Source organism: Homo sapiens, chromosome 2 (genome assembly GCF_000001405.40).
Source record: "Homo sapiens chromosome 2, GRCh38.p14 Primary Assembly".
In the NCBI taxonomy this organism is placed as follows: Eukaryota; Metazoa; Chordata; class Mammalia; order Primates; family Hominidae; genus Homo; species Homo sapiens.
The window spans coordinates 31,744,930-31,772,915 of NC_000002.12; the positions used below are offsets into that span (position 1 = coordinate 31,744,930).

The following is a 27,986-nucleotide window of genomic DNA, read 5'->3' on the forward strand; positions in this document are numbered from 1 at the left end:
CTGTGTTATATTATATAGCAGAATTGACTTTAAGACAAGAAGGTTGTCTAGCTGAGCCTGATCTAATAATATTAGCCCTTGAAAGCAGAGAGCCTTCTATAGCTGGTGGTATAAAGGAATGTCAGAGAGTCAATGCATAAGAAGAACTCTGTGTGCCATTCCATTCCTGTCTTTGAATATGAAGGGAGTCACACAGGAAGGAATGTGGGAAGCCTTTAGGATCAGAGGAGGACCCTATGGCCAATAGCCAGCAAGAAAATTAGGGCCCCAGTCCTACAACCACAAGGAACTGAATTCTGCCCAAAACCTAAATGAGTTTAGAAGAGGATTCCTCCCTAGGGCCTCCAGATAAGAGTCCAGCCCAGTAGACACCCTGACTTTGGCCTTGGAAGACCATGGCCATGGAACCATGGCCTTGGTTCCATAAGCAGGGAACCCAGCCAATCTTGCACAGCCTTCTGCTTTACAGAATGGTGAGCTTAAAGAAAAGGGTATTGTTTTAATCCACTGAGTTTGTGATAATCTGTAACACAGCAATAGAAAACTAGTACACCCAGCGTGAGATGAACTCAGGCAAAAATTATCTGTGTCATCTGACATCTGTAAGTACCTACTCTGACAGACTACAGTACAATTTGGGTTATCAGTAATTAGTGTCAGCTCACTGCATAAAACTCTTGTAAAGTCTAGGTATTTTGAAGTTTCCAGTTCACAGAGGCCTTAGGAAAGACTGGGGGAGAGATTTACAGTACATATTCATGGACATGCTGCAGGATGCTCCCTCAAAATGATGTGTCCTTCCCTTCATCCAAGGGGTTCCTCTTTGATTGCTGGTTTAGATCTTGGAATTAGGGGATATGTTGTGGCTACTCAAGCCATAATCTCTGTTCACCAGACCTATAGAACTTTTCTTTGACTACCTATATTACGTAAAACTTTAGTAGATGATTGTATGTTTCCTATTGCTATTATAACAAATTACCACAAAATCAGTGGCTTAAAGCAACACAAATTTATTATATTACATTTCTGGAGGTCAGAAGCCTGAAAATAGGTCCTACAGGGCTAAAAATCAAGGTTTTGGCAGGCTATGTTCCTTTTGCTGACTGATATAAATTGGCAAACCTTGTAATTCTCCTCCAAAGTCAGCCTTTTTACTTGCCTCCTGAGGCCTTTGGGAATCTAACTCTGGTTATGGGTCTAGAGACAATAAAAGGTGGAGAGATGAGTTTTGAGATGCACTTGCATCCCCTTGCAATCCCTTTGAAATGACCATGGCTGAGATCATTACAGATACTTCCAACAAGGGAGCTTATTAAAAAAATTCAGATCACTGGAATCTATCTAGAAGTCTCTATTCCAGTTCAGAATTTTATTCTTTCCAATCAATGCCCCAACTTTTACAAAAGAATCTAGTGAGCCATGAATCCAAATTTCCTCTAATTCTGCAACCCACAACATCAAAGTTTGGGTCTGATCTTTATCAAAAAAATTAGACCCAAAATTTGATGCTGTGGATTGTAGAATTAAACGTAAGTTTCTTTTATGACAATCATAAAAGCTTTCCAGTTTTGTGTTGTTTTGTTTTGTTTGTTTGTTTGAGACGGAGTCTTGCTCTGTCACCCAGGCTGGAGTGCAGTGGCATGATCTCGGCTCACTGCAAGCTCCGCCTCCCGGGTTCACGCCATTCTCCTCCCTCAGCCTCCTGAGTAGCTGGGACTATAGGAGCCCGCCACCACACCCAGCTAATTGTTTTTGTTTTGTTTTGTTTTGTTTTTTGAGACGGAGTCTCGCTCTGTCGCCCAGGCTGGAGTGCAGTAGCGTGATCTCGGCTCACTGCAAGCTCCACCTTCTGGGTTCACGTCATTCTCCTCCCTCAGCCTCCTGAGTAGCTGGGACTACAGGCGCCCGCCACCACGCCTGGCTAATTTATTTGTATTTTTAGTAGATACGGGGTTTCACCGTGTTAGCCAGGATGCTCTCCATCTCCTGACCTCATGATCCGCCTGCCTCAGCCTCCCAATCTGACTGTTTTGAGCCAAAAAATTTACGTCTTGAGTTTTTCATTTTCTTTTTGAATCCTCTCCAATGAAGTCAGAAGCAGCTGTCCCACCCTAGTGTCCATGTGGTCTGCATATGAATTATCCATATACTCTATATGGATAGAGTAGATTTTTGAAAGTCTCTACCTCTGATATTTTTTCCTTCTTGCTTGAAATACCTTGAGGGGCTTTTCTGACTGATAAAGTATTTCAGTACTCTCTATGGATATAATGAATATGCAGATATTCTATATGGATATAATGGATTAAGCAGCCACTTAATCCCCCAAAGCCTTGCCTTCAACAGGAACTTTATTATAAGCAACTACATGCAGTAATTTAAGTAGCTATTTTCCCACTATATGCCATGACATACCAATATCTGTTTTTCTCTAATAGGTGAGATTATTGTTGCTTCAAATCTAACCAGATCTAACTCCATATTTGATAACCTGTTTCTTAGTGCCATATACTTTAGCAGTCAGAAAAGCTCCTCTAGATATTTCAAACAAGAAAGAATAAATCTCAGAGTTAGAGGCTTTCAAAAATGTAGAAATGACCAGGGGACTGAAAGTACAGAAATTCTGAGAGGCTATCACCAGCAATCTCAGCTGCCAAGAGCACTAAATGGGTGATTTATAGGAGGCCAGTGAGAACATATCTCCTGTTTACCAAAGCACATCCTCTGCTTACCACAGTCCTAGCAGCAATAATGGCTTTTGCTTTTCCTCTGACTTCCAAATCACATGTGAATGTCATTCATTGAAAGAATATGATGAGGTATCCTACTGTAAGGGATTCTGAAAAATGTAGTTCGATTTCCTAAGATACAGGGAAGAGCACAGAAAATAAAAAATTGTGCTGAAATTTTAATAGGTAATTTTGTGCATAATGTTAAAAAGTAAGTTATTTAAGGAAATGATGGTGGCTTTAAAGGATAGGATGGGGTGGGGTGTGTGTGTGTGTGTGTGTGTGTGTGTGTGTGTGTGTGTGTGTCTGATGTCCTTACCTAGCAGAATAAAAAGTTGACATCTGTGGTGGATATCACTGCCGCATAATTCTTTTTCTTTCAGGCCCACTGGGGAATTGCCTTTTCTTGAGTTCCTTGAGGTTAGGTGTGGCTTACTTTCACCAAAAAAATTGGAGTAGAAGTCATATGTTTTACTTCCACATATAAGCTTTTAATTGCTCATACTCAATGCCCCACCCCATTGTTTCATTGTTGGAATAATAAATCAAATGTTGGCATGAAGGTGAAATGCTGAACCATCATTGGAAAATATGAGCTCCAGAGAGCTCCCCTGACACAGAATGGCCTTTGCTTGAGCAAGAAATAAATATTTATTGATTTAAGCCACATATTTTTGTGGTTTTTTATTGCAATGAGACATATCTCACCCCAGTTAAAATGGCTTTTGTCCAAAAGTCAGGCAATAACAAATGCTGGTGAGGATAAGGAGAAACGGGAACCCTCATAAACTGTTGGTGGGAATGTAAATTAGTATAGCTACTACAGAGAACAGTTTGGAGGTTCCTCAAAAAACTAAAAATAGGGGGGTGGTTCCAAGATGGCCAAATAGGAATAGCTCCAGTCTACAGCTCTCAGGGTGAGCGACACAGAAGACGGATGATTTCTGCAATTCCAACTGTGGTACCTGGTTCATCTCACTGGGGATTGTTGGACAGTGGGTGCAGGATAGTCGGTGCAGCGCACCGAGCATGAGCCGAAGCAGGGCAAGGCATCGCCTCGCCCAGGAAGCACAAGGGGTCAGGGAATTCCCTTTCCTAGCCAAGGGAAGCTGTGACAGATGGCACCTGGAAAATTGGGTCGCTCCCACCCTAATACTGAGCTTTTCTGATGGTCTCAGCAAACGGCACACCAGGAGATTATATCCCGTGCCTGGCTCGGATTGTCCTACGCCCACGGAGCCTCGCTCATTGCTAGCACAGCAGGCTGAGATCAAACTGCAAGGCGGCAGCAAGGCTGGGGGAGGGGCGCCCGCCATTGCCGAGGCCTGAGTAGGTAAACAAAGCAGCTGGGAAACTCGAACTTGGTGGAGCCCACCGCACCTCAGGGAGGCCTGCCTGCCTTTGCAGACTCCACCTTTGGGGGCAGGGCATAGCCAAACAAAAGGCAGCAGAAACCTCTGCAGACTTAAATGTCCCTGTCTGACAGCTTGGAAGACAGTAGTGGTTCTCCCAGCACACAGCTTGAGATTTGAGAATGGACAGACTGCCTCCTCAAGTGGGGTCCTGACCCCCGAGTAGCCTAACTGGGAGGCACCCCCAAGTAGGGGTAGACTGACACCTCACACGGCCGGGAACCCCTCTGAGACAAAACTTCCAGAGGAACAATCAGGCAGCAACGTTTGCTGTTCACCAATGTTCGCTGTTCTGCAGGCTCCGCTGGTGATACCCAGGCAAACAGGGTCTGGAGTGGACCTCCAGCAAACTCCAACAGACCTGCAGCTGAGGGTCCTGATTGTTAGAAGGAAAACTAACGAACAAAAAGGACATCCACATCAAAACCCCATCTGTACATCACCATCATCAAAAACCAAAGTAGATACAACCACAAACATGGGGGAAAAACAGAGCAGAAAAACTGAAAATTCTAAAAATCAGAGTGCCTCTCCTCCTCCAAAGTAACGCAGCTCCTCACCAGCAACAGAACAAAGCTGGACGGAGAATGACTTTGACGAGTTGACAGAAGAAGGCTTCAGATGATCAAACTTCTCCGAACTAAAGGAGGAAGTTCGAACCCATGGCAAAGAAGTTAAAAACCTTGAAAAAGATTAGACAAATGGCTAACTAGAATAACCAATGCAGAGAAGTCCTTAAAGGACCTGATGGAGGTGAAAACCATGGCACGAGAACTACATGACGAGTGCACAAGCTTCAGTAGCGGATATGATCAACTGGAAGAAAGGGTATCAGTGATGGAAGATCAAATGAATGAAATGAAGTGAGAAGAGAAGTTTAGAGAAAAAAGAATAAAAAGAAAAAAACAAAGCCTCCAAGAAATATGGGACTATGAGAAAAGACCAACTCTACGTCGGATTGGTGTACCTGAAAGTGACTGGGAGAATGGAACCAAGTTGGAAAACACTCTGCAGGATATTATCCAGGAGAACTTCCCCAATCTAGCAAGGCAGGCCAACATTCAAATTCAGGAAATACAGACAACGCCACAAAGATACTCCTCGAGAAGAGCAACTCCAAGACACATTTGTCAGATTCGCCAAAGTTGAAATGAAGGCAGAAATAAGACGTTCTTTGAAACCAATGAGAACAAAGACACAACATACCAGAATCTCTGGGACACATTAAAGCAGTGTGTAGAGGGAAATTTATAGCACTAAATGCCCACAAGAGAAAGCAGGAAAGATCTAAAATCAACACCCTAACATCACAATTAAAAGAACTGGAGAAGCTAGAGCAAACACATTCAAAAGCTAGCAGAAGGTGAGAAATAACTAAGATCAGAGCAGAACTGAAGGAGATAGAGACACAAAAAACCCTTCAAAAAATCAATGAATCCAGGAGCTGGTTTTTGGAAAAGATCAACAAAATTGATAGACTGCAATTTTGTTGCAGTCTAAAGAAGAAAAGAGAGAAGAATCAAATAGATGCAATAAAAAATGATAAAGGGGATATCACCACCGATCCCACAGAAATACAAACTACCATCAGAGAATACTATAAACACCTCTACTCAAATAAACTAGAAAATCTAGAAGAAATGGGTAAATTCCTCGACACATACAACCTCCCAGGACTAAACCAGGAAGAAGTTGAATCTCTGAATAGACCAATAACAGGCTCTGAAATTGAGGTAATAATTAATAGCTTACCAACCAAAAAAAGTCCAGGACCAGATGGATTCACAGCCGAATTCTACCAGAGGTACAAAGAGGAGCTGGTACCACTCCTTCGGAAACTATTCCAATCAATAGAAAAAGAGGGAATCCTCCCTAACTCATTTTATGAGGCCAGCATCATCCTGATACCAAAGCCTGGCAGAGACACAACAAAAAAAGAGAATTTTAGGCCAATATCCCTGATAAACATCGATGCAAGAATCCTCAATAAAATACTGGCAAACCGAATCTAGCAACCATCAAAAAGCTTATCCACCATGATCAAGTGGGCTTCATCCCTGGGATGCAAGGCTGGTTCAACATATGCAAATCAATAAACGTAATCCATCATACAAACAGAACCAAAGACAAAAACCACATGATTATCTCAATAGATGAAGAAAAGGCCTTTGACAAAATTCAACAACCCTTCATGCTAAAAACTCTCAATAAACTAGGTATTGATGGGACATATCTCAAAATAATAAGAGCTATTTATGACAAACCCACAGCCAATATCATACTGAATGGGCAAAAACTGGAAGCATTCCCTTTGAAAGCTGGCACAAGACAGGGATGCCCTCTCTCACCACTCCTATTCAACATAGTGTTAGAAGTTTTGGCCAGGGAAATCAGGCAAGAGAAAGAAATAAAGGGAATTCAAGTAGGAAAAGAGGAAGTCAAATTGTACCTGTTTGCAGATGACATGATTGTATATTTAGAAAACCCCATCATCTCAGCCCAAAATCTCCTTAAGCTGATAAGCAACTTCAGCAAAGTCTCAGGATACAAAATCAATGTGCAAAAATCACAAGCATTCTTATACACCAGTAACAGACAAACAGAAAGCCAAATCATGAGTGAACTCCCAGTCACAATTGCTTCCAAGAGAATAAAATACCTAGGAATCCAACTTACAAGGGGTGTGAAGAACCTCTTCAAGGAGAACTACAAACCACTGCTCAACAAAATAAAAGAGGATACAAACAAATGGAAGAACATTCCATGCTCATGGATAGGAAGAATCAATATCATGAAAATGGCCATAGTGCCCAAGGTAATTTATAGATTCAATGCCATCCCCATCAAGCTACCAATGACTTTCTTCACAGAATTGGAAAAAACTACTTTAAAGTGCATATGGAACCAAAAAAGAGCCCACATTGTCAAGTCAATCCTAAGCCAAAAGAACAAAGCTGGAGGCATCATGCTACCTGACTTCAAACTATACTACAAGGCTACGGTAACCAAAACAGCATGGTACTGGTACCAAAACAGACATATAGACCAATGGAACAGAACAGAGCCCTCAGAAATAATGCCACACATCTACAGCTATCTGATCTTTGACAAACCTGACAAAACAAGAAATGGGGAAAGAATTCCCTATTTAATAAGATGGTGCTGGTGCTGGCAAAACTGGCTAGCCATATGTAGAAAGCTGAAACTGGATCCCTTCCTCACATCTTATACAAAAATTAATTCAAGATGGATTAAAGACTTAAATGTTAGACCTAAAACCATAAAAACCCTAGAAGAAAACCTAGGCATTACCATTCAGGACATAGGCATGGGCAAGGACTTCATGTCTAAAACACCAAAAGCAATGGCAACAAAAGCCAAAATTGACAAATGGGATCTAATTAAACTAAAGAGCTTCTGCACAGCAAAAGAAACTACCATCAGAGTGAACAGGCAACCTACAGAATGGGAGAACATTTCTGCAATCTACTCATCTGACAAAGGGCTAATATCCAGAATCTACTAAGAACTCAAATTTACAAGAAAAAAACAAACAACCCCATCAAAAAGTGGGCGAAGGATATGAACAGACACTTCTCACAAGAAGACATTTATGCAGACAACAGACACGTGAAAAAATGCTCAACATCACTGGCCATCAGAGAAATGCAAATCAAAACCACAGTGAGATACCATCTCACACCAGTTTGAATGGGGATCATGAAAAAGTCAGGAAACAACAGGTGCTGGAGAGGATGTGGAGAAATAGGAACACTTTTACACTGTTGGTAGGACTGTAAACTAGTTCAACCATTGTGGAAGACAGTGTGGTGATTCCTCAGGGATCTAGAACTAGAAATACCATTTGACCCAGCAATCCCATTACTGGGTATACACCCAAAGGATTATAAATCATGCTGTTATAAAGACACATGCACATGTATGTTTACTGCAGCACTATTCACAATAGCAAAGACTTGGAACCAACCCAAATGTCCATCAATGATAGACTGGATTAAGAAAATGTGGCACATATACACCGTGGAATACTATACAGCCATAAAAAAGGATGAGTTCATGTCCTTTGTAGGGACATGGATGAAGCTGAAAACCATCATTCTCAGCAAACTATTGCAAGGACAAAAAACCAAACACCACATATTCTCACTCATAGGCGGGAACTGAACAATGAGAACACTTGGACACAGGAAGGGGAACATCACACACTGGGGCCTGTTGTGGGGTGGGGGGAGATGGGAGGGATAGCATTAGGAGATATACCTAATGTAAATGACGAGCTAATGGGTGCAGCACACCAACATGGCACATGTATACGTATGTAACAAACCTGCACGTTGTGCACATGTACTCTAAAACTTAAAGTATAATAAAAAAAAAAAAGAAATTACTTAGTGGGTACACCGTACACTATTCACTCAAATCCCAGACTTCACCACTATGCAGTATATCCATGTAACAAAACTGTACCTGTACCTCTTAAAATAAAGAAAAAAAACTAAAAATAAAGCTACCATACAATTGAGAAATTTCACTGCTGTGTATATACCCAAAAGAAAGGAAATCAGTATATTGAAATATCTGCACCCCCATGTTTGTTACAGCACTGTTTACAATATCCAAGATTTAGAAGCAACCTAAGTGTCCATCAAGAGATGAGTGGATACAGAAAATGTGGTACTTGTACACAGTGAAGTACTATTCAGCCATTAAAAATGAATGAGACCTCGTCATTTGCAACAACCTAAATGGAACTGGAGGCCATTATGTTAAGTGAAAAAAGCCATGCACAGAAAGACAAACATTGCATGTTCTCACTAATTTGTGGGATCTAAAAATTAAAACAATTGAATTCATGCAACTAGAGAATAGAAGGATAGTTACCAGAATTAGGAGGTTAGCGAATGAGTGAGGGGGAGGTGGAAATAGTTAATGGGTATAAAAAAAAAAATAGGGTTAATCTGGCAAGATGGCCAAATAGGAACAGCTCTGGTCTGCAGCTCCCAGAAAGACAAATGCAGAAGGCAGGCAATTTCTGCATTTCCAACAGAGGTTCCCAGTTCATCTCACTGGGTCCGGTTAGGCAGTGGGTGCAGCCCATGGAGGGTGAGCAGAAACAGGGTGGGGTGTTGCCTCACTCAGGAAGTACAAGGAGCCGAGGGACCTCCTTCCCCCAGCCAAAGGAAGCCATGAGGGACTGTGCTACCCGGCCTTAATACTACGCTTTTCCCACAGTTTTTGCAATCGGCAGATCAGGAAATTCCCTTGTGTGCCTACACCACCAGGGCACCAAGTTTCAAGCACAAAACTAGGCAGCTGTTTGGGATGACACTGGGCTAGCGGCAGGAGCCCTTTTTCATACCCCAGTGGTGCCTGGAACTCCAGCAAGACAGAACTGTTCACTCCCCTGGAAAGGGGCTCAAGCCAGGAAGCCAAGTTGTCTCACTCAGTGGGTACCACACCTATGGAACATAGCAAGCTAAGAACCACTAGCTTGAAATTCTCACTGCCAGCACGGCTGTCTGAAGTTGACCTGGGACTATCGAGCTTGGTTGGGCGAAGGGCATCCACCATTACTGAGGCTTTAGTAGGCAGTTCTCCCCTGACAGTGCTAAGGAGGCCAGGAGGGTTGGACTGGGCGGAATTCACCACAATGCAGCAAAGCAGCTGTGGCACAACTGCCTCTCTAGATTGCTCCTCACTGGGTGGGGCATCTCTGAAAAAAAAAGGCAGCAGCCCAGTCAGGGACTTACAGATAAAACTCCCACCTCCCTGGGACAGAGCACCTGGGGGAAGGGATGGCTGAGGTCACAGCTCCAGCAGACTTAAACTTTCCTGCCTGCCTGCTCTGAAGAGAGCAGCTGATCCTGAAAAGGAGGATTCTCCAAGCACAGTGAGCGAGCTCTGCTAAGGGACAGACTGCCTCCTCAAGCAGGTTGCTGACCCCTGTGCCTCCTGACTGGGAGAGACCTCCCAACAGGGGTCGATTGACACCTCATACAGGACAGCTCCAGCTGGCATCAGGCCGGTGACCCTCTGGGATAAAGCTTCCAGAGGAAGGACCAGACAGCAATCTTTGCTCTTCTGCAACCTCCACTGGTGATACCCAAGCAAACAGGGTCTAGAGTGGACCTCGAGCAAACTGCAGCAGGCCTACAGAAGAGGGGACTGACTGTTAGAAGAAAAAGAGAAAAAACTAACAGAAAGCAACAACATCAACATCAACAAAAAAAGACCCCCATACAAAAACCCCACCCAAAGGTAATCAGCCTCAAAGATCAAAGGTAGATAAATCCATGACGACGAGGAAAAACCAGCACAAAAATGCTGAAAATTCCAAAAACCGGAGTGCTTCTTCTCCTCCAAATGATCACAATGCCTCTCCAGCAAGGGCACAAAACTGGACAGAGAATGAGATTTACAAATTGACAGAAGTAGACTTCAGAAGGTGGTTAATAACAAACTCCTTTGAGCTAAAGGAACATGTTCTAACCCAACGCAAACTAAGAACCTTGATAAAAGGTTACAGGACCTGCTAACTAGAATAACCAGTTTAGAGACGAAAATAAATGACCTGATTAAGCTGAAAAACATAGCATAAGAACTCCATGAAGCATACACAAGTATCAATAGCCGAATTGATCAAGCAGACTAAAGGATATCAGAGATTGAAGACCAACTTACTGAAATAAGGCATGAAGACAAGGTTAGAAAAAAAAGAATAAAAAGGAATGAACAAAGCCTCCAAGAAACACAGGACTATGTGAAAAGATCAAACCTACGTTTGATTGGTGTTCCTGAAAGTGATGGGGAGAATGGAATCCATTTGGAAAACAAACTTCAGGATATTATCCAGGAGAATTTCCCCAACGTAGCAAGACAGGCCAACATTCCAATTCAGGAAATACAGAAAACCCCACTAAGATACTCCTCGAGAAGAGCAACCCCAAGACACATAATTGTCAGATTCTCCAAGGTTGAAATGAAGGAAAAAATGTTAAGGGCAGCCAGAGAGAAATGTCAGGTTACCCACAAAGGGAAGCCCATCAGACTAACAGCAGATCTCTCTGCAGAAACCCTACCAGCCAGAAGAGAGTGGGGGCCAATATTCAACATTCTTAAAGAAAAGAATTTTCAACCCAGAATTTCATATCCAGCCAAAATAAGCTTCATAAGCAAAGGAGAAATAAAATCTTTTACAGACAAGCAAATGTTGAGGGATTTTGTCACCACTAGGCCTGCCTTACAAGAGCTCCTGAAGGAAGTACTAAATATGGAAAGGAAAATCTGGTACCAGCCACTGCAAAAACAAACCAAAATATAAAGAACAATGACACTATGAAGAAGCTGCATCAACTAATGTGCAAAATAACCATGTAGCATCATGATGACAGGATCAAATTCACACACCTAACAATATTAACCTCAAATGTAAATGGGCTAAATGCCCCAATTAAAAGATACAGACTGGCAAATTGGATAGAGTCAAGACCCATCAGTGTGCTGTATTCAGGAGACCCATCTCACGTGCAAAGACACAGGCTCAAAAAAAAGGGATAGAAGAATATTTACCAAGTAAATGGAAAGCAAAAAAAAAAAAAAGCAGGAATTGCAATCCTAGTCTCTGATAAAACAGACTTTAAACCAACAAAGATCAAAGAAGACAAAGAAGGGTATTACATAATGGTAAAGGGATCGATGCAACAAGAAGAGCTAACTATCCTAAATATATATGCACCCAATACAGGAGCACCCAGATTCCTAAAATTTGTTTGCTATTGCTTCTCTAGTTCTTTTAATTGCAATGTTCGGGTGTTGATTTCAGATCTTTTCAGTTTTCTGATGTGGACATTTAGTGCTACAAATTTCCCTCTTAACACTGCTTTAGTTGTGTCCCAGAGATTCTGGTATGTTGCCTCTTTGTTCTCATTGATTTCAAAATACTTATTTCGGCCTTAATTTCGTTTTTTACCCAGTATTCCTTCAGGAGCAGGTTGCTCAATTTCCATGTAGTTGTGCAGTTTTGAGTGAGTTTCTTAATTCTGAGTTCTAATTTGATTGCACTGTGGTCTCAGAGACTGTTATGATTTCCATTCTTTTGCATTTGTTGAGGAGTGTTTTACTTCCATGTATGTGGTCGATTTTAGGATAAATGCTATGTGGTGCTGAGAAGAATATAAATTCTGTTGATTTGGGGTGGAGAGTTCTGTAGATGTCTATTAGGTCTGCTTGGTCCAGAGCTGAGTTCAAGTCCTGAATATCCTTGTTAATTTTCTGTCTCATTGATCTGTCTTATATTGACAGTGGGGTGTTAAAGTCTCCCACTATTATTGTGTGGGAGTCTAAGTCTCTTTGTAGGTCTCTAAGAACTTGTTTTAGGAATCTGGGTGCTCCTGTATTGGGTGCATATATATTTAGGATAGTTAGCTCTTCTTGCTGCATCGATCCATTTACCATTATGTAATACCCTTCTTTGTCTTCTTTGATCTTTGTTGGTTTAAAGTCTGTTTTATCAGAGACTAGGATTACAATTCCTGCTTTTTTTTTTTTTTTTTTTTTTTGCTTTCCATTTACTTGGTAAATATTCTTCTATCCCTTTATTTTGAGCCTGTGTCTTTGCATGTGAGATGGGTCTCCTGAATATAGCACACCGATGGGTCTTGACTCTATCCAATTTGCCAGTCTGTGTCTTTTAAAAATTTAATGACTGCCCTGCTGGGCTTTGGACTATATGGGGCCTGTAGCCCCTTTGTTTTGGCCAATTTATCCCTTTTGGAATAGGAGTATTTACCCAATGCCTGTACCTCTTTTGTATCTTGGAAATAACTAACTTGTTTTTTATTTTACAGGCTCATAGGCAGAAGAGACTAACCTTGTCTCAGATGAAACTTTGGACTTTTGAGTTAATGCTAGAATGAGTTAAGACTTTGGAGGACTGTTGGAAAAGCAGGATTGTATTTTGCAATGTGAGAGGACATGAGATTTGGGAGAGGCCAGGGGTGGAATGATATAGTTTGCATCTGTGCCCTGACCCAAATCTCATGTTGAATGGTAATTCCCAATATTGGAGGTGGGGCCTTGTGGGAGGTGATGAATCACGGATGCTATTCTCATGATAGTGAGGGACTTCTCACAAGATCTAGTTGTTTAAAAGTGTGTGATACCTCCCCCATCTCTCTTTCTCCTGTTCCAGTCATGTAAGACATGCCTTCTTTCCCTTTGCCTTCCACCATGATTGGAGCTTTCCTGAGGTCCCCCAGAAGCTGTCATGCATTCTGTACAGCCTGTAGAACCATGAGCCAATTTAACCTTTTTTCTTTTTAAATTACCCAGTATCAGGTATTTCTTTATAGCAGTGCAAGAATGGACTAATTTAAGATCCCTGATGGGAGATGATGAATAGGGCATTACAAGGAGGAAAGAAGAAATCATCAAAAGTATGGCAATCAAAAGGAACATGATATATTGAGGAAAATAATAACCAAACCAGTTTGGAGGGAGCAGAAGTTTTTTTCAGGGAAGTAGTAGGAGATAAGGTTGGATGGTTGATTGAGACAGAAATCTGGGAGCCCTTAAAGATCAAGCAGAGACTTATTTGTGGGATATAAAAATCAAAACAATTGAAATCTTAGAGACAGAGAGTAGAAGGGTGGTTACCAGAAGCTGGGAAGGGTAGTGGGGGCCTGGGGGAGAGGTGGGCGTGGTTAATGGGTACAAAAAAACAGAAAAAATGAACAATACCTACTATTAGATAGCACAACAGGGTGACTATAGTCAATAATAACCTAATTGTATTTTAAAATAACAAAAAGAATATAATTGGATTGTTTGTAACACAAAAGATAAATGCTTGAGGGGATGCATACCCCATTCTCCACGTTGTGATTATTATGCATTGCATGCCTGGATCAAAATATCTCATGTACCACATAAATATATACAAATACCCACAAAAATTATGATTTTAAAAAAAAGACCAATCAGAGAATTCAGACTCTATCCTGAGACATTGGGATAGCCTTAAATGTGTTTTAATACTCGGATGATGAACAAGATGGTGACTTGAAAGATAAACCAAACACCAGGAAAGTGAGGAGACTGCACTAGAACCAGATAGACCACTTAGAAAGTAAGAAGTGATTAATTCTGAACCAGGGAGACTAAAACAGGAATCAATAAGAGGAAACAGAAAGATTTATCATTAAAACTTTGGAACAGTGAGGGGACAGAGGGAACATCAAGAATGACATATTTCCAGCTTACATGATTCAGAGAATAAAGTTCTGAGAAAAAAAAAAAAAGAAAGCCAGGAAAAAAAATAAAATGTTAGACCTGGAAAATTCCTTTAAAATTATCATGTCCACATGCTGTCTTTTATAGATAATGACTGCAGGCAAAAGCTAGTGCTGAAGAAAACAGAGGGGCTTTGATTTTAGTGAGTTTTCAGAACATGATTCTCATCACTTCAGAGGCCAGGAATGGAAACACCCACTTATGGGAAACAGCAGACACCTTAGGCAGAGTCACATCCGGCCCCTGCATGAGGCTCATCCCACCTCTCTTGCTCCCTCTGTGCTGCCCAGAATCTGCCCTAAGCATTGGGTCATCTCCCCTCTGAATCCTGAGGGCTTTCTCATTTCCCTGCCTGGCGTCACCCTTTACCTAAGTCTGTGCCTTTTACTTTGGCCCCAGATTCATCACCCTTGCTTATACCTGCCCTGGGAACATTTGTGCTAGTTCCATAGTACCCCTTTCTCCATTCTTCTTTATTCACTCCTCCACATTCATTCATCCAACATTTTTATAAGTTCTGGAGATAGAATGGTAAGCAATACATTTTCAGTGCTTTCGAAGGCTTACATTCTAAAATGAAATCAAGTTCTCCCCCACTCCCCTAAAAGAGGAAACAAATAATTACAACAAAATAATTTAAAATCATGGTAAGCACTAGGAAGAATAAAAAATCTGTGATGAAGATAAGCAAAAGAATATAGAATTGTGAATACAAAATTAGGTAGAAAACTAAGTTTATTAAGAACGAGGAAAGGGGCCAGGTGTGATTTACACCTGTGGTCCCAGCACTTTGGGAGGCCAAGGCAGGAGGATTGCTCAAAGCCAGGAGTTCAAGATCAGCCTGGGCAGCAAAGCGATACCTTGCCTCTTAAAATAAATAAATAAATTATTAATAAGAAGAAGAAAAGAAATCACACAAATTACAAATTTTTAAAAGTGTATAGAAACTACAGTTTTAAAAAATCTTTCTAGTGATTTGAACCTTTTATGATTATGAAGTGATGCACTTTAGTGCTAATAATACTTTCTATCTTAAAGTCTACTTGTGTGATAATAATATAACTACATGAACTTTTTTTAAGTTACGATAAAACTAACCACGATGTATCTTTTTCCATTATTTTACTTTCAACCTTTTTGAAACTTTGTTTTTAATCTTTCTCTTATAAACAGCCTATACTGGTTTTTTCTTAAATTCAATTTTAAAAAACCTTGTTTCTTAACTGGAGCATTTGATCCATTTACATTTAGTGAAATTACTGATATTTTTGAGTTTAGATCTGTCATCTCATTATGTGTTTTATTAAGCCACCTCTTCTATGTTCCTTTTCCTCTCCTTTCATGCGTTCTTTTGGGTTGGTTACTTTTTATTATTCTACGTTTTTTTATCTACTAGTTTGGAAGTTCCACACACTTTTCCACTCTCTTAATGATTATCCTAATGAATCATGAGGGCTTTTTTTGTTTTGTTTTATCTGGCTTATTTCTTTATTTATCCTAATTGCCTGAGTAGAACCTCCAGGACAATGTTAAACAGAAGTGACAAGAGCACATATCTTTTTCTAGTTCCTGATATGAGGAGGAAAACATTCAGTGTCATGCTATAGCACCTAGCTCCCAGCTGAGATTTTTAAGCTCAGATTTTATCTCTATGAATGTAGTAAGCATAGTGGTTCTACAATCCATATTGAATCATTTCGGTGTTTTTTTTTTGAGACAGAGTCTCACTCTATTGCCCAGGCTCCAGGCTGGAGTGCGTGGCATGATCTCAGCTCACTGCAACCTCTGCCTCCTGGGTTCAAGCGATTCTCCTGCCTCAGCCTCCCAAGTAGCTAGGATTACACACATGCACCACCATGCCCAGCTAATTTTGTATTTTTAGTAGAGACAGGGTTTCACCATGTTGCCCAGGCTAGTCTTGAACTCCTGACCTCAAATGATCCACCTGCCTCAGCCTCCCAAACTGCTGGGATTACAGGCATGAGCCACCATGCCCAGCTTCATTTCAGTATCTGATGTCTCTTCTGAACTACTTTTTCTGCTGGTTCTGGCTTATGTTGTTTTATCTCTTGGTGTATCTCATTGTTTTTCATAGTTTTCAGGCCACTTTTAACTTATTAATAGAAACAATTTGAAGCCTTAGACGGTGTTATTTTCCTTCAGAGAGACTTTTTACCTTCTGTCAGGTACCTGGTGGGAACCAAGGTTTTCTGAGTCACCAAGGTGACCTACCAAAATATAGTCATATCCTTATTCCCAGGGCACATCTGTCTTAGTCGATTTGGGCTGCTATAACAAATTACCCATAGACTAGGCGGCTTAAACAACAAATATTTATTTCTCACAGCTCTTGAGGCTAAAACAATCAAGGTCAAGTTGCTAGTAGATCCAGTGTCTGGTGAGGCACTCTTCCTGGTTTGCTGACAGCCATCTTCCTACTATGTCCTCACATGGTAGAGAGCAGGTAGAGAGCAAACTTCTTATAGAGATCTGCTTATTTAAAAGTGTGTAGCACTTCCCCTCATGCTCTCTTGCTCCTGCTCCCACCATGTAAGACGACTGCTCCCCCTTTGCCTTTTGCCATAATTGTAAGTTTCCTGAGGTCTCCCCAGAAGCCAAGCAGATGCCAGCATCATGCTTCCTGTACAGCCTGCAGAACCATGAGCGAATTAAGCCTCTTTTCTTTATAAATTACCCAGTCTCAGGTATTTCTTTATAGCAGTGCAAGAATGAGCTAATACATCCACCTTCTAATACCATCAAATGTGGTGGATTTGGAGTCAAGATTTCAACATATAAATTGGGAGAAGGACACAAACGTTTAGTCCATAGCAATATCCCTTTGAGATCTGAGTCCTGAGCAAGGAGTGTTTCAACAATTTTCCCACCATTAGAGGGCACAGGACTCTTATCCCTGTCCCTGCCAAGGTAGTGTGTGACTCTACCTTTCATCCTTTTCCCTGGAATAGGAACGTGTATCCAGCATAAAAACATTTTTGAATGGTGAAGCCCTTCAGGGTCTTAACCTCCTGACTCCAACTTTTATCTCCTTCCTACACTAACCTGCCAAAAGGGTAACCTAGTCCCAATCTTTGAACACCACCCGGGCAGAAGCCACTGAGGCTGCCTATCTTTCTCAAGCTGATCATAATTTCATAATTCTTCACTATTGTTTTTCCTTATTGTTCCTTTTAAGACTATTTTTTCTACCCAGTTTTTTAGTTGTCTTTAGAGGGAGGGTTATTACCAAAGCCAGAAAATTCTATTTTCATTTTAGTAACATTACCCTCCGAACAGTAGATGAGAGGATATTTTTCTTTTTAGATGTGTAATAATCCATCTGATTAACAAAGAAAGAATGAAAAATCTTGTTTTCATTAAAAAAATCTTGTTTTCATATAAAAAAATTGTTTTATAACAGCCTATGAAGTAATGCATGTAGGCATCTAATTAATATCTGCTATATCACTAAGTGAGGGATATCCAGACATCAGCATAGGAGAATACAACGCCACCTATGAAGTAGTCACCCCCTCAGAAAAAATCAAACCTGAATCGAGTCTCTCTAAATCTAGCCCCTAAAGCCATCAACAAATCTATAAGAAATACTGAGGACAAAGGGATGTGTTAAAATATACTATAGAGATGTGATAAGCAAACTCCAGGGTGTGAGACATTCAGGAGAAACAATTCAGTTCCTTAACAAATAAACAGTAATGGAAAAAAACAAGGTTGGGGGGACTTATATATTAAAATAGATTTATGAAACATAATGAATCACAATGCATTGATCTTATTCAAATCTTGATATTTTAAAAACTGTCAAAACTATGCTATTTATAATGTAATTGAGAACTTGAACACTGACTCAAAAATATTTGATATTTTAAAGCATTACATTTTTAAATATGATAACACTATTGTGGTTATGTTTAGCAAAAAAGGAGTATGTATATTTGTGTCTGTACATATATGTGTATATATGTACATATAGTATATAATTGCATATTATATAATCTACTACACATACACACATATATTAAGTATAATAGTTCTGGATAAAAAATTTGCTTAAAACTAATACAGGGAGGTAAGAAGTGAAGGAGAGTGTGGATGCAGACAAAAACTAAAAGACTATTATATAGAGAATGGGAGATTGGGTTGGTGGGGGAAAAGAATACAAACAAGATCATTTTGGAGCCTATTGTAATGTCCAGATGATAGATGATGCTGGCACGGACTAAGGTAATGAAGCAAAATAGAAGAATTTGAGATATATTTTGACTTTGAGATTTCTGTAAGAGATTCATGAATATGTAAAGTAGATAATAGCCAAGGAGAGATAACCTAACTTGGGATGAAATTATATCAATGAAAGGATGATTTTTAAATCTAGGGGAATTAATGAGCCCACTTAGGTCAAGTGTATTAAGGCAAACATTTATCGAACCCTAATATATCAGTTAGTAGATTTACAGCCTCGATAGGGGAGACAAGTCAATGGCAAATCCTGTGATAAAATATGGGCAAAGTGGAGTGTCAGGTGCAATGGAAGCAAGATCCCTCTCCACCCTGCTCCCCAACCAGTCACGGGGGATGAACTGTGAATAAGAGTTAACAAACTTAAATGACATCTGAAATACTGTCACCAACCGAATTGTTCAACTTGCACCAAAGGAAATCATTGTTTTTATTGATAACATCATTCTTTCAGCTTTATCTTTTCAAAGACTGAATTTTAACGGTTTCAGGCTCTGGGTAAAATGTCATGCCCATATCTTGGATGCCTTCAGGAACAGATGGGGCCTGACATGTTCAAAGCAGTCATAAGCAAACTAAAATCCAATTTTCCTTGGTAGGAGGGCACTGGAACAGCCAAGTAGTCTGGAGGGAGAGGCTGGGCTGGGAGTATGTTCTTGCTGATTCACAAGGCCTATTTATACAACCCCACATGCCGTTCAAGTTTTCTCCTGCCCTGAAAGTACAGGCTGCAAATGAGCACTAGTTTATGGGCACAGCTGATTCCAATCTCTCACTTGTCATGAACTAATGTTTTATGATATGTTGAGGTGACCCCTGGCTAAAAAGACTCTGTATAAATGCTTTTCATTGTTTTCTTGTTTGTGATGTATTGAGCCAGAGGATGTGCGTAACCTGATCAACCTAGTAAAAATTTTAATCTCTTCTATTTTTATGGCCTTCCAGGAAAAATTCCATTTAGGGGAAAAGTAATGACTTTCAGAACTAATTCTCAAGCATCCCAACAACATGTTACCAACAATGGGCCCACTCCTATCAGGGGTCTTCACTCCTCTAAAAGTTTTCCTAATAGTTTTTGTTTGGAGATTGGTGTGTTCAAGCACTTGAGAGGCAGGGTCTTTGTCAGTAGAGGGGGTGGTGGGGTCACTGAGCGTGTACGTGGGAGGGACAGTGGAAGTCTTAGGAGTTACAGGCTTCAATTTGCTGTTAGGATGCCATCTTCGAGGGCCTTCGGCCCACCAAGACTAGAGGTTTTGCTTGCTATCAAATCTCTCAAAATGGTAATCACAGCTAAATGAACAATCTCATTTAATTCTCACAATAAGCCTGTCAAAAATGTATACCACATATACACCCTGCATTTTACAGATAGAGGAACTAAGGCTGAAAAAAGTTGTGACTTGCCTGGGACCACACAGCTTGGTGGGAAGCAGCTTTGACTTCGTTGCTTCTGATCTCTGTGTCTACTTTAGCAGAGGTTTGCTCCCCCCACCTCTATTCAAAGACCCTAGGAGCCAAAGGAGAAGAGATTTGAGAGCAACATTCATGAGAGTTGCAACATCCTCCATGCATAACATCCTCAGTCTGGTGATTCTTACCTTGTTTCCACCTCATTCCCATAACAGTTGATGTACACCTGGTATTACTTCACCAGCACGGGACATACAAGTGGGAGTTAACCATCTGTAACTCAACTTCCTTCCCTCTCACTTAAAGAGAAACACATGAGAATCCAGGTAAGAGTGATATTAAATTTTCTCCAATTTATTTTTATGTAAGTCACTCACAAATATTCCATTATTAGTAACAACAAATTATTAGTAGCACAAATTACTTGCAATGTAATTTCAAACTGTCACCAGAAGAGATACCTGTTGCTTACCCCTGTGATGACAACTTATTCTTTCTCAAACCTCCTACTGTTCTCTATCCATAACCACCCACTCTCACCTTTATCTACTGAGCTCTCAGCATCTCATAAAAAGCATGGGATTCAGAGTTCAGACATAGGTTTGCATCCTGGCTCTGACACTTACTAACTGTGTGACACTGACAAGCAATTAAGTTTCTCTAAGACTCAGTTTTCTCTTGTATAAAATGGAGATAAAATAGTATCTGCCTTATGCTATTGTGAAAATTTAGTGGCAATAGATAGATAGTAATTGGATATGTAAGTTATTACAATGTCTGGCACACATTAACCACTGACTAAATGTTAACTACCTTTTATTACTTTATCCCATATCTATCCAGTTCACATCCTCCACTCCTTTTCTGTCAAGTTTTCATGTGCCTGTGTTTACTTTGAAGAGGAGCTTATGTTCTGAACTCGCTAGTAAAGAAAACAACAAGATATTACAAAGAGAATTGGAAGGAAGCCTCAAATTAATCAACATTTATATAATTTCTCCTGTACCCCAGCCATCCTAAATAGTCAGTTTACCTTATCGAGTGATGCATTAGTAACAGGGTGAATTGTGAGTTCAGCCATCAGTATTCATTGGCTGCACTGTTGAAGCAGCAGCTCCCCACTGATTTCAGAGACTACTTATCCACTTGGCCATCCACAGTGTTAAGTTTCCTAGACGTTAGGGAAAGACCTGCTCCAAAGCAAAGGCCAGGCCACACTCTGTTTCCTCTCCACTCACCAGCATCCACACTTCAGCTCTGCGGCCAAACATTTAATGAAATACCGCCCAAGTAAAGAGAAGCTTCCCCAACTACTGAGATTGCATTAAGAACGCTAATTGAGGCAAGATCGTAAGTCTGCCTTCACACCATCCCAAGAGGGAAAAGAGATCTGACCCCATGGAGGAGGCTATGCATACATGTGTGTGAATCTCAACACCATAAGGGCAGGCATGTTAACAAGAGATAAATCAGTGGTGGAGGAGGCAAAGGCCCAATGAAAAGTGACATCACATGTTAGCAAGTCATCAAAGGGTTAATGAGATTCTGCCAGAGATGTTAGCTATTCCCTTACCTGTCAGATCCATTTTTAAAATCTTGAATCTGACACTGATCTTCACTGCTCACCCAAAATCTAAATGGTACCATGCTATTTAGGAGAGAGTCCCTGCCCCATGTTCTTCACATCAGAAATGAAGATGCAGGCCAGGTGGCTCAATCCTGTAATCCCAGCACTTTAGAAGGCCGAGGTGGGCAGATCACTTGAGGTCAGGAGTTCGAGACCAGCCTGGCTAACATGGTGAAACCCCATCTCTACTAAAAATACAAAAATTAGCTGGGCATGATGGCACATGCCTGTAATTCCAGCTACTCGGGAGGCTGAGGCAGGAGAATCACTTGAACCCGGGAAGCAGAGGTTGCAGTGAGCCAAGATCACGTCATTGCACTCCAGCCTGGGTGACAAAATGAGACTCCATCTCAAAAAAAAAAAAAAAAAAAGAAGATGCACTACTCAACCTCAGCTAGACCCCCTGACAGCTCTCCTCCACTTTACTCTTTTCCTTGGTTGACTCTCCAGCCTAGTTCTACAATCATTACTCCAAACTTTTTCCACTCTCTAAATCCTGAAACAGGAACCCGCACCATACTCCCTTTCACCCCCACCTCTACCTCCACCTCCACCTCCACAGACGGCCTTGCCTCTTGTTAGGAGGTTTTGTGAAGACTGAAGCTTATACAATTTAGGGAGAAGGATTATTAAAATAAAATAATATAAAATTATGAATACAAAATTTTGTATTCATAAAAAGTAACAATGCAAAAAAACTTTTAAGTTAACAAATACCATAACGTCATTATATTATAAATGTTTTTAGTAATTAACTGCCTGACATACCTCTACAATATTTTTTCTTACCATTTTTTGCCTATGACAATGGCTTTATAATATCATAGACAATGGCTTTATAATATCATTTGACAATGGCTTTTTATATGACAGTGGCTTTATATCATTATATGACAATGGCTTTATATATCATATTTTAATTACTGAAAATAAGAAACTGCTTGTGATATCTTACTGGCTCCTTCATTAATAAATGGGTTAAGTAAAATCTCAGACACTTGTTCATTTTACGTGTGTATTGGAGTCATAATTTTACCTTTTTTAAAAAGTATCTTTTTGGAGATCTTCTACCAAAATGCCCAATGAATTCACCTGACAGAGGCAAGTAAACTACATTGCCAGGAAAGTGTATCCAGTAAGTGGCTTGAGACCAGGCACATATTTTCTTAGCTCCTGGAGATAAACGCCAAGTGACAAAAGAAGTTTAAGTTTGCTAACTCTCCATTTCTCTGGTTTATCTTCCTTTCTACTGTCTGTGTGTTTATGTATGTCTGTTTCATTTATGGTTAATAAATTATTTCCCATTGGTGTCAGAAAAGATTAGGAAATTGATTTTAATGTATGACCATTTGGTGGTCTCCAAAACTAGGTTAATAGATTATAGATATCTGTTTTCTTTTTTTTTTTTTTTCAGAGGGTCTCACTATGTTGCCCAGGCTGACCTCAAACTCCTGGGCTCTAGCAACCATCAAGCCTGGGACTATAGGTGCCTGCCACTGTACCTGGCCTTATCTATTTTTCCCTTGAGTGAAGTGAACATGTATAATTTGATTCGTCTTTTTTGTTTATCTATTTGTCTTTTTTGAGCCAAACCAATCAAGAATTTCAAGCTCACCAGGAAGGGGAACAGCTTTTTGATGTCTACTTCAGGGTGTTTTGGTATTTCTGTATCAACTCTTGACCTGTGGCTAACATAGAACTGAAGCTTTAAGCTCACTATGTATATGTATATCTATGTGTCATAACTCTCAAAAGATTGTACCTTTCTTTGTAACTGGATGTTTTCCTATCTCCCAGGGGTATCAAAAAATTACATTACGAAGTCTCTTAAATTAAAGGGGTGTTTTTTGGATGGATTTACGTAAGAGACAGATAAGTGCTTATATAGATGGGATATTCCCAAGAATCAGAAAATCAGAAAAGTGCACTTCATCCCAGCACTTTGGGAGGCCAAGGCAGACAGATCACATGAGGTCAGGAGTTCAAGACCACCCTGGCCAATATGGTGAAACCTCGTCTCTACTAAAAATGTAAAACTTAGCCAGGCATAGTGGTACACGCCTATAATCCCAGCTACTCGGTGGCTGAGGCATGGGAATTGCTTGAACCCAGGAGGCAGACGTTGCAGTGAGCCAAGATTACACCACTGCACTGCAGCCTGGGCAACAGAGCAAAACCCTGTCTCAAAAAAAAAAAAAAGAAAGAAAGAAAAAGAAAAATGAACTTCAAATGCTTTAAATGTGCTAAACTTAAATAAATTACCCTCACAAAAACTCAAAAATATATTAAAAACCCAGAAATATATTAAGAATATATTCAGAAACTCAGAAACTTAGTGCCTTACAAAACTTTCTTAGGAAAACTAGCTATTCCCTGGCTTACAGGGTACCCTGGCCTTACAGCTGTGAAGAAGGTCTCTTCCTGGCTGACCAGAAGATTTAGGGTATTGGGGGTACCTCAAGAAGAGAGAAATTCCCACACATTTGTAGATACTACAGGTGATATCTGGTAGGGTTTGTTGGGTTTGCTTTCCTAGCTTCAATATCACAAACAAAAGAAGTTTTTAAAAGCCCAATGTGAGGGCTGGGCATGGTGGCTCACCCCTGTAATCCCAGCATTTTGCGAGGCCTAGGTGGGCAGATCACCTGAGGTCAGGAGTTCAAAACCAGCCTGGCCAACATGGCGAAACCCCATCTCTACTAAAATACAAAAATTAGCTGGGCATGGTGGTGGATGCCTGTAATCCCAGCTACTTGGGAGGTTGAGGCAGGAGAATCGCTTGAACCCAGGAGGCAGATGTTGCAGTGAGTCGAGATCGTGCCACTGCACTCCAGCCTGGGCGAGACGCCGTTTCAAAGAAAAAGGAAAAGAAAAGCCCAATGTAATATTCCTTTTAAGAACTTCCAAAAAGAACTTAATTTTATCATGCTTCAATACTGTATGGCTCTTGATTTGGTAAAGCAAATTTAAAGAGACCTAAGCAGTAAATTAACATTCTTCTTTCATGCATAATTAATAATCAAGTCAAATCTAATGTCAGGCTTAGTTCAATCACAAAATAATCTTTTCTCTCTTTTTTTATAATTATTATGATCACAAGGCAGGGGTCAGGGGATACTGTCAGAAAAAATCATGAATGCTTGGAAATGGACAAAAAAAGATAGTGGATGTTTGTCTAGCTCACTTATCCAGGTTATCTCAGCCTTTCCATGTCTTTGAGCTGTTTTACTCCATAAATTATAGATAACCAAGAGCAAGGCAAATGATATTTTCCACAGTCATGCAAATTCTGTCCAGTGAAGGGACAACTGATTCTCTGTACTGATGACTACCCCTCTTACAGAAAAAGATAGTTTTTGAATTTTAGAATTTTTTCTGGTTATTCTTTCATGTCTTTTTTCCCATCTAATCATTAGAATCTCTTTGCTAGTGTTAAGAATTCTTTTAGCATTTGCTTTGAAGTTACATTAAATTTATAGATTATATACAAAATTTATATCTTTGTGAAATTGAGTCTTTATGTCTAAGAACAAAGTATGCCTTTCCATTTGTCCAAGTCTTCTTTTGTTTCCCTCCACAGCTTTTAAAATTTTTCTTTTTATGAGGCTTCTACATTTCTTGTTAAATTTATTTCTGAGTATTTTATCGTATTTGCTGCTACTGTAAATTGGACCTTTTCTTCCAGCGCCAGAGGCATAACTCATTATTGGTTTAAGTCAAGCAGGATGGTCCCGTTTCTTTTCCCAGTCTACACCCTTCTGACCAACTGAAACAGAAGAAGAAGAAGATATAAGGAGGAAGGTTTTCCTCACTGATCTGAAAAAGAGCACACTGGAAGAAGCAGGCCCTCTTATGAAGGAAAAAAACCACTCATTTTTTAAACTGAGGTTTTTTTCCCAGTAATTTGCAGCTGAAAATATCTGATAAAATAATTATAATTGTACAAAATATATCTTATATTTTATCTCTTTATTTAACCTTCACTCATTATCTCTTTAGACAGAATCTACAAATTCCACATAATTATCAACGATGACTTTAGTACATTTCTATTCAGGAGTGGCATTCAGACACACACACACTTCTGTGGAAATAAATAAAGATCAACCAAATGAAAACAGGCAAGGTCTATTTATTCAGGGCTTGTTAGAGCAAGGGAGTCTGCCACCATCACTTGCACTCTGGCAAGGACTCAGAAGCTCCCCTGATTAAAGGCTATCCATGTGAGGAAGCTGTAGGTGGGCTAACTAGAAGCAGAGCCTGGCCCAGGGTGATCTCATCTTAAGATCCTTATCTTAGTTACATTTGCAAAGGCCCTTACTCCAAATAAGGTCATATTCTGAGATTCTAGATGGATCTTTTAGGGAGACACTATTCAACCCATGACAGTGTACAACTCTGAATATACTAAAACCATTAAATTGTATTATTTATATAGGCGAATTTTATGATACCCGAGTTGTATCTCAACAAAGACATTTAAAGAAAGGCATAGATAATATTTTTGAAATGTTTTGAAAACTTAGTAAAATAATAACCATATAAAATCACGTAAAGTACTAAAATATTTACTACTAAAACAAACCACTAAGCCAAGAAAGATTTACAGAGCATGTTAAAGGAGAAATTGTCCCATCTCTTTCAAAGAAGGTAGGATAATTCTTATTCCAATATCGAATAAGGATAATACAGAAAGAAAACAATACACTAATTTTAAGCAAAACATATATGCAAAGAAGGCCATTTGATCACCTCAACATATTTTTTAAAGTTATTTAACAAAATTCTACATTTATAATTGATTTTTCAGTGTTAAATTGATTAAAGATATTCACCAGAAACTAGGTGACACAGTAAAAACATTTATTTTAATGTCATGACCAAGAAGAATGATCACTACTACTACTACTACTACTTCCACTAGAGGTCTTAGGCAATGTTATAAGACAAGGGTAGGTCCCTGTGCAGACCTGTTTTTTCAGATTATTGTACACATACTGGAAATGGCTGCCTCAATTGCCCATAAATGTTCTTCCTAGCATAGTGTCTAAATACCTAGATATACTGTACCCCAGTTACTAAAAGAAAAAATATTTTTGCCTCAGATAAGGCCAGGAGACAAATCCTGATGCAATCACTTGTGATCCTAGGAGCAAACTACATTACCCACTGACTCCTAGAAAGGAATAGCACACTTGGGATTTCTGGAAAACCTTTAGGAGCATGTTTCCAATGGTATTATAGAGTCAGAGAGCATGGAGAGTTGAGTATTTTTGTCAATGGGACTATATAAGAGACACTTGGTTTATAATGATATTTGCCATATTGATTTATAATTACTTGCTTTCATTTAAGCATCTTCCACTGTATTAGTAACTTCCTACATTTGCAGCTGGGTCTTTCTCATTTTTTCATCTTCTGCACCTAGTACCTGAATTCCTCAATATTCAAAGTCCTTATTCTTTTTCTTCCCCAAAAAAGTTGTAATTACACATTTCTTCCATTGATGTCTCTTGTTTACTCACAAACTCTGCCAGTTTGTTAGTATATGTAGTATCCTGAGGCTTATACTTCAAGACTGGGCAGCTACAAACTCCTGAGAAACTCACTACCAGTATAAGATATTAAGAAGGAACATATTATACTATAATCAGTAAAGCAAGTATTAAAATAGCAAAATTAACAGTTGTAGCTAAAATTTCAAAAAAGATATCAAATGAAATTGTAGAAAATAATTAATATAAAAGAAGGCAGGAAAAGAGGGAAAGAAAAATAAAGAATAGATGGGACAAATAGAAAAATAGCAAAATTACAAACAAATTCAACCATACCAATATGCACATTAAATGTAAACGTTCTAAACACCCCAATTAAAAGGCAGAGCTTGTCAGATTGGATTAAAAAACAAGACCCAACTATTTCTGCCTACAAGTAATGCAACTGAAATATAAAGAGACTAACAGCTTAAAAGTAAAAAGACGGTGTGTCAAAAAATAAGATATAAATGATTATATATATAATATATACATTTGTATGTATACATATATACATAGAGAGATTGATATTAAGGAATTGGCTCACATGATTGTGGGGGATGGCAAGTTCAAAATCCATAGAGCAGGCCAGCAGGCTGAAAATTCAGGAAAGATTTCTATGATACAGTCTTGAGGCAGAATTCCTTCTTCTTTAGGAAACTTCAGTTTTTGCTTTTAACATCTTCAGCTGATTGGATGA

General features: G+C 39.6%; 1 long non-coding RNA gene across 2 annotated transcripts; it reads right to left on the reverse strand.

Annotated features, from left to right (window-relative positions):
- Nucleotides 1–20,123: 20,123 nt before the first annotated feature.
- On the reverse strand, nt 20,124–27,983 carry LOC107985863 (uncharacterized). 2 transcript variants are annotated; one of them, XR_001739390.1, is made up of 4 exons: nt 27,834–27,983; nt 20,939–21,047; nt 20,314–20,424; nt 20,124–20,222 (listed from the first exon to the last, which is right to left on the reverse strand). It is a non-coding gene; the product is annotated as an uncharacterized LOC107985863 (long non-coding RNA). The 2 variants fall into 2 exon arrangements; XR_001739391.1 differs by lacking the exon at nt 20,939–21,047.
- Between the last annotated feature and the right edge of the window lie 3 nt (nt 27,984–27,986).